The sequence below is a fragment of the Homo sapiens genome, chromosome X (assembly GCF_000001405.40).
Source record: "Homo sapiens chromosome X, GRCh38.p14 Primary Assembly".
Lineage (NCBI taxonomy): Eukaryota > Metazoa > Chordata > Mammalia > Primates > Hominidae > Homo > Homo sapiens.
Window position 1 is genome coordinate 47,065,664 of NC_000023.11, and position 10,847 is coordinate 47,076,510.

The window sequence follows — 10,847 nt, forward strand, 5'->3', positions numbered from 1 at the left end:
GGCTGGGCGCGGTGGCTCATGCCTGTAATCCCAGCACTTTGAGAGGCCAATGTGGGTGGATCACCTGAGGTCAGAAGTTCGAGACCAGCCTGGCCAACATGGTGAAACCCCATCTCTACTAAAAGTACAGATTGCTACTAAAAGTACGGGCATGGTGGTGCGCACCTGTAGTCCAGCTACTCAGGAGGCTGAGGCACGAGAATCACTTGAACCCAGGAGGCAGAGGTTGCAGTAAGCCGAGATTGTGCCGCTGCACTCCAGCCTGGGTGACAGAGTGAGACTCCATCTCAAAAAAAAAAGGAGATAACCTGAATAGCTCCTTATTATTAAATGAATTGAATTTGCAGTCAAACTTTCCTTTGAAGAAACTCTGCCCAGATGACTTCACTGGTAAATTCTAACAAGCTCTTAAGAAACAGATAATACTAATTATACATAAACTCTTCCAAAAAATTGGACAGGAGAGAATACTTCTCAACTCATTCCATGAAGCCAGCATTACCCCGATACCAAAACCAGACAAATACATAAGAAAACTAGAGACCAATATCCTTCATAAAAATTAATGCAAAAAGTGGCTGGGCGTGGTGGCTCATGCTTGTAATCACAGCACTTTGGGAGGGCAAGGCAGGAGGATCACTTGAGGCTGGGAGTTCAAGACCCAACCTCGCCAAGATGGTGAAGTCCCTGTCTCTACTAAAAATACAAAAATTAGCTGGGCGTGGTAGTGGGTGCCTGTAACCCCAGCTGCTTGGGAGACTGAGGCAGGAGAATCACTTGAACCCAGGAGGCAGAGGTTGCAGTGAGCTGAGATCATGCCACAGCACTCCAGCCTGGGTGACAGAGTGAGACTCCCTCTCAAAAATAAAAATAAAAACAATGCAAAAGTTCTTAACAAAACGTTAGCTAATTTAATCGAAGAATATATCAAAAGTAAGATTTATCCCAGACATGCAGGTTGACTTAACATTTGAAAATCAATCAGTGTAATTTACCATATCTCAATAGATACATAAAAAGCATTTGAGGCCAGGTGCTGTAGCTCACACCTGTTATCCCAGCACTTTTTGGGAGGCTGAGGCGGGTGGATCGCTTGAAGCCAGGAGTTTGAGACCAGTCTGGCCAACACGGCAAAACCCCGTCTCTACTAAAAATACAAAAATTAGCCGGGCGTGGTGGCAGGTGCCTGTAATCCCAGCTACTTGGTAGGCTGATGCATGAGAATCGCTTGAACCCTGAAGGCAGAGGTTGCAGTGAGCCAAGATTGTGCCACTGCACTCCAGCCTGGGTGACAGAGCGAGACTCTGTCTCAAAAAAATAAAATAAATAAATAAAAACATTTGACAGTATCTACTGCTGATAATAGTGTTCAGCAAACTGTGAATAGAAGCTGAATAAAGGATATCTACCCAGAACCTTATAAAGAACACCTACAAAAAACCCTACAGTTGGCCAGGCACATTAGCTCACACCTGTAATCCCAGCACTTTGGGAGGCCGAGGTGGGAGGATCACTTGAGCCCAGGAGTTCCAGACCAGCCTGAGTAACACAGTGAGACCCCATCTGTACAAAAAAATTAAAAATTAAAAATTAGGGTGTGGGGGCATACCCATTTTTTTTATCAGATCATTAGATTTTTTTCCTATAGTATGAACTCCTTATATATTCTGGTTATTAATCCCTTGTCAGATGGGTAGTTTGTGAATATTTTCTCCTATTCTGTGGGTTGTCTCTTCCCTTTGTTGATTGTTCCCTTTGCTGTGCAGAAGCTTTTTAACTTGATGTGATCCCATTTGTCCATTTTTCTTTGGTTGCCTGTGCTTGTGGGTTATTACTCAAGAAATCTTTGCCCAGACTAATGTCCTGGAGATTTTCCCCAATGTTTTCTTGTAGTAGTTTCATAGTTTGAAGTCCATTTTGATTTGATTTTTGTATATGGTGAGAGATAGGTTGTTTTTTTTTTTAATAGAGACAGAGTCTCATCATGTTGCCCAGGCTGGTTTTGAACTCCTAGACTCAAGCAATCCTCCCACCTTGGCCTCCCAAAGTGCTGGGATCATAGGCGTGAGCCACCATGCCCAGCCGAAACCACTACTTTTTGCAAGATGCTATTAATAGACTGAAAAGAGAAATCACAGACTGGGAGAGAAGAATTTCAAAGTAATTATGCTCAGCCAGACAAAACAGAATACATACTGTATAAATATAATCCCAGGTACCAAAAAAACTACAAAATAGGAGCAAATCTGGAGTGACAGAGAGCAGACTAGTGGTTGCCTGGGGGTTAGGAGCAGGGAAAGGTGGGAGGAAGGGATAATAAAAGGGCAGGAGGAAACTTTTGGGGGTGACCAGAATGTTCATTATCTTGGTGGTGGAGATAGTTCTAGACATGTATACATATGTCAAAACTAATCAAATTATACTCTGGCCAGGCGTGGGTGACTCATCCCTGTGATCTCAGCACTTCAGGAGGCCGAGGCAGGAGGATCGCTTGAGCCCAGGAGTTCAAGACCAGTCTGGGCAACATAGCAAGACTCTGTCTCTACAAAAATTTTAAAAATTAGCTGGGTGTGGCAGCATGCATCCGTGGTCTCAGCTACTAGGGAAACTGAGTCAGGAGGATCACCTAAGCCCAGGAGGTCAAAGCTGCAGTGAGCCATGATCACACCACTGCACTCTAGCCTAGGCAACAGAGTGAAACCCAGTCTCAAAGTTAAAAACAAACTAATCAGCCTGGAATCAGGAAGTTTTACATGGCCTCTTGACGGGTAATGATTGGCCTTCAGCCAGGTTCCATAGACACAAAGTTGCCCAAGCGTCATCATTACAGCCCATGAACATTCACATGGGGTCTTCCAAGTCTAAAACTGCAAGTCTTTGATACTAAATACCTGCTTCCTTCATGTTTTCCTACTATAATATTCACCATATGGCAAAATTTCTCTAGGGTCAGTTTGAAATTACTGCGGCCACATTGGGGAACTTTTGAGATGAACAAGATTGTTCATTTAAGAGGCATCTTAGAACAAAGAGTGAAGAAAACCTTATTAGGAGATTATTTGGTTTTGCCTAAAAGAAAAATTATTTTGGGGGGTAGGTGACCCCCCCTCCTTTGTTTCCACATTTCAAGGATTAATGAGTGGTAGCTTTAAAATTCTTTACATGGATAAAACTGTCAAAGGCCCAAGTTATTGTCTAAACCAATAACTTGGTTTAGACAATACTGTACTCTGTACTCTGTCTCCCTCCCCACCCCCCAGTGTGCTTGTCAAAATGGTCTTTCTATGTTTATATATTCTTCCCTGTCCTTCAAGAAAGAACAAAATTAACCTTTTATTATGTTGATGCAAAAGTAACTGTAGCTTTTGCCATTAAAAGTAATGGCAGTTCCTTTTGCACCAACCTAATAAATGATAATTTCATATTTGTCTGAAGCTGGCTTTTTGTTGTTGTTGTTCCTCTCCCTCTCTTTTACTCCCTTGGGAAACTTTAAAGATTAACTGATCAAAAAAAAAAAAAAAATTCAGGGCCAGGCACAGTGGCTCACGCCTGTAATCCCAGCATTTTGGGAGGCCAGGGCAGGTGGATCATTTGAGGTCAGGAGTTCAAGACCAGCCTGGCCAACATGGTGAAACCCCGTCTCTACTAAAAATACAAAAATTAGCCAAGTGTGGTGGTGGGCACCCAGCTACCTGGGAGGCTGAGGCAAAAGAATCCCTTGAACCCAGGAGGCGGAGGTTGCAGTGAACCAAGATCACACCACTGCACTCCATCTTGGGCAACAGAGCGAGACTTTGTCTCAAAAAAAAAAATTTAGTTGTTCTGCGTACACTCTAGAAATATCTAGTCTGGATAAACTGTCAAAAGTGTCTAAAGGAAAGAAAAAGTTATTGAATGTGTTTCTTTTCGGGGACACTAGAAAGTATATTTAACACAATAGTCTTTGTTATTATACTTATGAAAAAATAAGAAAAGAATTTAATTTCAAGATAAAGAAGAGCTTTCAATTATGATTGAAGATCTTTAAAAATAGTTTACCATTTTAAAGTAATGTCAGAACAATATTTTTGCTTGTACAAAAATCAGGATTAAATTACTTAAGCTTTCTAAATTTCCTACACTGATTTTATGGGTTAAGTAAATTACCATTGTTTCTATAACTTCATATATATATGAACGACTGAAAGGAATAATACTAACAGGTGTCTTTTTAAATAGTTTAATTTTATGAAAAAAAAAATTTTTTTGAGACAGGGTCTCACTCTGTCACACAGGCTGGAGTGCAGTGGTGCAATCATAACTCACTGCAGCCTCGACCTCCTGGGCTCAAGCGATCCTCCCACCTCAGCCTCCTGAGTAGCTGGGACTACAGGCATGAGCCACCAGGCCTGGCTAATTTTTTTTCTGTTTTATTATATTTTGTCATTCTGCACCTTCATGAAATAATTTTTGTTGTTGTTTTTGTTTTTGTTTGTAGATACAGTGTCTTCCTATGTTGCCCAGGCTGGTCTCAAACTCCTGGGCTCAAGTGATCCTCCTGCCTCAGCCTCCCAAAGTGCTGGGATTACAGGTGTGAGCCACTGCACCCAGCCTGAAAAATTCTTAAATTTCTACAAATCATAAGGATTTAATGTATTGGCTAAAATTGAAATCTCTAGATCCCAACTTTAAGACTTAAGACAAAAGATTAAGTTCATTAATAAATAATCTTTGGACACATAAGAAACTGACAGTTTCTGAGTAAGGAATAGATAGAAAACACTAGTCACTGAAGGTGATTTTTTATTCTCATTTCCTAAAGTGGCACGGTCCTTATCAACTGTCAATTCAGAAAAATTGCAAAGAACTGGCCAGGCATGGTGGCTTACGCCTGTAATCTCAGCACTTTGAGAAGCCAAGACAGGCTGATCACCTGAGGTCAGGAGTTCGAGACCAGCCTGGCCAACATGGTGAAACTCCGTCTCTACTAAAAATAAAAAAATAAAAAAAAAAATTGCCGGGCGTGGTGGTGCACGCCTGTAGTCTCAGCTACTTGGGAGGCTGAGGCAGGAGAATTGCTTGAACCTGGGAGGTGGAGGTTGCAGTGAGCCGAGATTGCACCACTGCACTCCAGCCTGGGTGACAGAGCGAGACTCTGTCTCAAAAAACAAAACAAAACAAAACAAAAAAAAACAGAGAACTCTTGGAATTCGAAAACCACAATAATCAAAGCTCTTAGAAACCCCTTGAACTTCCATAGCCTCAAGTATTGCCATTATTTTTCATGGCAATAAGATCTGCATCCCCCCCCAAAGGATTCACAAGTTATCTGCTTCTGAGATAATAACAGGTTTCCCTATGCATTTGGAAAGTATTCCCAATGCTAGACTCCACTCTATTACAGGCTGATATGACTCATTACTGCAGGGGACTCCTACAATACCTCCAGCTTTCTCACCAACAGGTATAAACTGCATTTTCTTTTTTGTTTGTTTTGAGACGGAGTTTGGCTCTGTCTATTGCCCAGGCTAGAGTGCAGTGGCCCAATCTCCGCTCACTGCAACCTATGCCTCCCAGGTTCAAGTGATTCTCCTGCCTCAGCTTCCTGAGTAGCTGGGATTACAGGCGTATGCCACCACGCCCGCCTAGTAAATTGCGTTTTCAAAACCCCCACCTCAGCAGCCTCTGCAGGATCTCAAACCTGAAGGTTTGGTTTTCTGAAAAGACATCAGAGAAAAACTACTTGAGTCTCCGTGGAAAAGACCTTATCAGGGACTGTTAGCAACTTGCACAGCAATAAAACTCCAACGGGACACTTAAGTTCCCATTTCCCAACTTAAAAAGTCAGTTTATCCTGACTCCTGGATGTCCATTCCATCGGGACACTTTAAATTAAGACATTCTTAGAAGCCCTCCAGAAACTGCTGACTGCAGAAGTGGCCAGCTTCAACTCAAGGTTAATTTTCTGATTCTTAGCAGCCCTTTTCTTTCCTTTCACTCTCCTGCTCATCTTGCCTATTGTGCTTTACACTCTCTCTATGATACTAACAGACGAAAAGGCTTCTCAGTGTGTTCTCCCTTACCCTCATCCTGTGACTTCTGAACCCTTACAGTCCCCTCTCACTTAAGAAAAAACACAGCCTGGGCAACATGGCAAAACCCCCTCTCTACAAAACAAGTACAAAAATCAGCCAGACTTGGTGGAGTGTGCCTGTAGTCCCAGCTACTTGGGAGGCTGAGGTGGGAGGATCACTTGAGCCCAGGAGGTTGAGGCTGCAATGAGCCGTGATCGTGCCACTGCACTGCAGCCTGGGTGACAGGGCAAGACCCCATCTCAGAAATAAATTAAAAAAAGAAAAACAAAGCATCCTGATAGATTTTTCTCAGAGCATAGCTACTGCTCTGAATTTAACTGTTTGCTGACAAAAAAAATTAATCATTCTTCCTTAAACACTACAGAAGGTACATTTCCTTTAGTAAGCCCCTTCTGGTTCTTAAGTTTCCCTTGCATCATTAACCCCAAACTTTGGTCTTATAAAAACTGGCCAGGCACAGTGGCTTGCGCCTGTAATCCCAGCACTTTGGGAGGCTGAGGTGGGAGGATTGCTTGAGCCCAGGAGTTCGAGACTAGCGTGGCCAACATAGTGTGACCCCCATCTCTACAAAAAATAAGAAAAAAAATTAGCCAGGGGTGGTGATGTGTGCCTATAGTCCTAGCTAATCACAAGGCTGAGATGGGAAGATTGCTTGAGCCCAGGAGGTCAAGGCTGCAATAAGCCACAGTCCTGCCACTGCACTCCAGCCTAGGTGACAGAGCAAGACACTGTCTCAAAAAATTTTTTTAAAGGGTGGGGAGACTAACCCTTGTCCTACTACAGACAATTTTCTTGGAGCCACCTGTAGATCAGCAAAATCCTGGTAAATGGTGAAGATCAGAAAATCATCGATTCACATCCTATGGCCTTTACTTAATCTGACCTTGGACAAAAGGGGAAATTAAAAATGCTCATCATCACTGGCCATCAGAGAAATGCAAATCAAAACCACAATGAGATACCATCTCACACCAGTTAGAATGGCAATCATTAAAAAGTCAGGAAACAACAGGTGCTGGAGAGGAGGTGGAGAAATAGGAACACTTTTACACTGTTGGTGGGACTGTAAACTAGTTCAACCATTGTGGAAGTCAGTGTGGCGATTCCTCAGGGATCTAGAACTAGAAATACCATTTGACCCAGCCATCCCATTACTGGGTATATACCCAAAGGACTATAAATCTTGCTGCTCTAAAGACACATGCACACGTATGTTTATTGCGTCATTATTCACAATAGCAAAGACTTGGAAACAGCACAAATGTCCAACAATGATAGACTGGATTAAGAAAATGTGGCACATATACACCATGGAATACTATGCAGCCATAAAAAATGATGAGTTCATGTCCTTTGTAGGGACATGGATGAAATTGGAAATCATCATTCTCAGTAAACTATCGCAAGAACAAAAAACCAAACACCGCATATTCTCACTCATAGGTGGGAATTGAACAATGAGATCACATGGACACAGGAAGGGGAATATCACACTCCGGGGACTGTGGTGGGGTGGGGGGAGGGGGGAGGGATAGCATTGGGAGATATACCTAATGCTAGATGACGAGTTGGTGGGTGCAGCGCACCAGCATGGCACATGTATACATCTGTAACTAACCTGCACAATGTGCACATGTACCCTAAAACTTAAAGTGTAAAAAAAAAAAAAAAAAAAGATCAACAGCCAAAAAAAAGAAAGAAAAGCAGTCTGTGACATCCAAAATCCGCCATGGCACCCACAGCTAGGCCTTGGCATTCTCCTGCTGAACATGAACAATTTCAGAGGTCACCAACATCAGACAAGGCCATTCTGGGACTGCAATGGATCAAGACAAAAACAAGATTAATCATAGACTGACCAAATGACAAAAATGGACTGGACCTGATGGCTCATGCCTGTAATCCCAGCATTTCAGGAGGCAGAGGTGGAAGAATCACTTGAGCCCAGGAGTTCGAGACCAGCCTGGACAACACAGGGAGACCTCATCTCTACAAAAAATTAAAAATCTGGGCCAGGTGTGGTGGCTCACACCTGTAATCCCAGCACTTTTGGAAGGCTGAGACAGGAGGATTGCTTAAGGCCAGGAGCTCGAGACCAGCCTGGGCAAAACAAAGTGAGACCCCGTCTCTACTAAAAAAAAAAAAAAAAATCACAGGCCGGGCACAGTGGCTCACGCCTGTAACCCAGCACTTTGGGAGGCCAAGGTGGGCAGTTCACGAGGTCAGAAGATCGAGACCATCCTGGCTAATACGGTGAAACCCCGTCTCTACTAAAAATACAAAAAATTAGCCAGGTGTGGTGGCACGTGCCTGTAGTCCCAGCTACTCAGGAGGCTGAGGCAGGAGAATTGCTTGAGCCCAGGAGGTGGAGGTTGCAGTGAGTGGAGATCACGCCACTGCATTCCAGCCTGGGCAACAGAGCAAGATTCCGTCTCAAAAAAAGGAAAGAAAGAAAAAGAAAGAAAGAAAGAAAGAAAGAAAGAAAGAAAGAAAGAAAGAAAGAAAGAAAGAAAGAAAGAAAGGAAGGAAGGAAGGAAGGAAGGAAGGAAGGAAGGAAGGAAGGAAGGAAGGAAGGAAGGAAGGAAGGAAGGAAAGAATGAATCACAAAAATGACTCAACATCGCCCCATCCTGGCTTATCTGAGTGAGGGCTGCTTGTTCTTCAGCCCATTCTCCTTGTCTTCTAGATGAAAATTAAAATGCCCAATCATGGAGTCACCCCTACTCCCTGACAGCATTCAATCCTTGGACTCGCCCCAAAATCACATCACCTAATACAAGGCCAAATTCTATAGTAGTTTCTTTTTAAAAAAAAAAAACAACTTTTTTTTTTGAGACAGAATCTCGCTCTGTCACCCCAGCTGGAGTGCAATGGCACGATCTCCGCTCACTCACTGCAACCTCCACCCACCAGATTCAAGCCCCAGCCCCCCAAGTAGCTTGGATTACAGGCATGCACCGCCACATGCACTAATTTTTGTATTTTTTGTAAAGACAGCGTTCCCTATGTTGGTCAGGCTGGTCTTGAACTCCAGACCTCAAGTGATCCACCCTCCTCTGCCTCCCAAAGTGCTGGAATTACAGGCATAAACCACTGTGCCTGGCCTATAGTAGGTTCTTTCTAACAGCCTGTTACTGAGATGTCCCAGGGTACCCTGTGGTGTGTGTTCTCCCTCCTCACTGTAAAGAGTCAATGAACCCAGATGTGTTTGACTGCAGGTGGTCTGCGAATAAAGAGCACTTATATTGTAATAAAAGATCCCTATGTATCCTCAGAGAGCTCCTGATAAAGCAGGAGAGACACATAAACCAATGGATCTCAGTGTGATGAGTAATGTAATAAAACATAAAGAGGCGCTCCTGGAAGAGCAATAGGTCAGAGAGCGAGGAGGGTCAGCGAAGTCTTCCTGATGGAGGGGACATTCAACTGACTCTTAGTTAGAAGTTAGTCCAGTGCAGAAGGAAGCATTGGATTAGTGGTCAGAGAGAAGTGTTCTAGGCAGAGGGAATAGCAAGTTCAAAGTCAAGAAGCAGAGAACATGGCTAGAACATGAGAGAGGTCAAGAAGGGACTCCCCACAAATTCGAAGAGCCTTGTGTGCTCGGGGTCCATTGCAGGGTGCTATGACTACACTTTTTTTTTTATTTTATTTATTATTATTTTTTGAGACAGTGTCTCACTCTCTTGCCCAGGCTGGAGTGCAGTGGCATGATCTTGGCTCACCGCAACCTCCGCCTCCCGGGTTCAAGCAATTCTCCTGCCTCAGCCTCTCAAATAGCTGGGATTACAGGCACACGCCACCATGCCCAGCTAGTAGAAATGGGGTTTCACCATGTTGGCCAGGCTGGGACCTCAAGTGATCCACCCGCCTCGGCCTCCCAAAGTGCCGGGATTACAGGCATAAGCCACCATGCCCAGCCAATTTAAAAAGATTCATAACCACATATTATGATCAAAGTTAACAAATCAACATTCGTTTGCCTGCAGATGGTGAGGATACAGCATCACTTTTGTAGCATTGCCAAAAAGGCATAGCCTGAATTGACCATGAGGAAAAATCAAGGAATCCCAAATTAAGGGACATTCTACATTTTGAATTCCAAAAATGTCAATGATGTCAGGAAACAAAAATAAAAGGCTGAGGAGCTGTTCCAGGTGAAAAGCAACTAAATGCAGCTAAATGCAATGCCTCGCCCTGGATTGGGTTTGGGCATGAAACATCTTTTTTCCTTTTATTATAAAGGACATTAGTTGGACAATTGGTGAGACTCCAATAGATAATCCTGTATCAATGTTAATTTACCTGATTTTGACCATCGTGCTGTGTTTATGGAAGAGAATACCCTTGCTTTCAGGAAACACACACTGAACTACAGTATTTAAAGGTAAAGGAGCATCATGTCTGCAACTTGCTCCCAAACTGGTCAGAAAAAAATTATATATAGATGTATATGTAAATAAGAGAGAGAAGGGTAAAGCAAATGTGGTAAACTTAACATTTGGGGAATCTGGGTGAAGGGTAATCATGAATTTTTTCTATTATTCTTGCAGCTTTTCTGTAAAACTGAAATTTTTTTCTAAATAAAGGTACCCCTCTCAGCAAAAAAAAAGAAAAAGAAAAAAAAGCATATAGTTTTTGTTGTTGTTGTTTTGTTTTTAGAGACAGGATCCCACATCCCACTCTGTCACCCAGGCTGAAGTGCAGTGTCGCTATCACGGCTCACTGCAAGCTTGATCTCCCAGGCTCAAGCGATGTTCCCACCTCAGCCTCCTC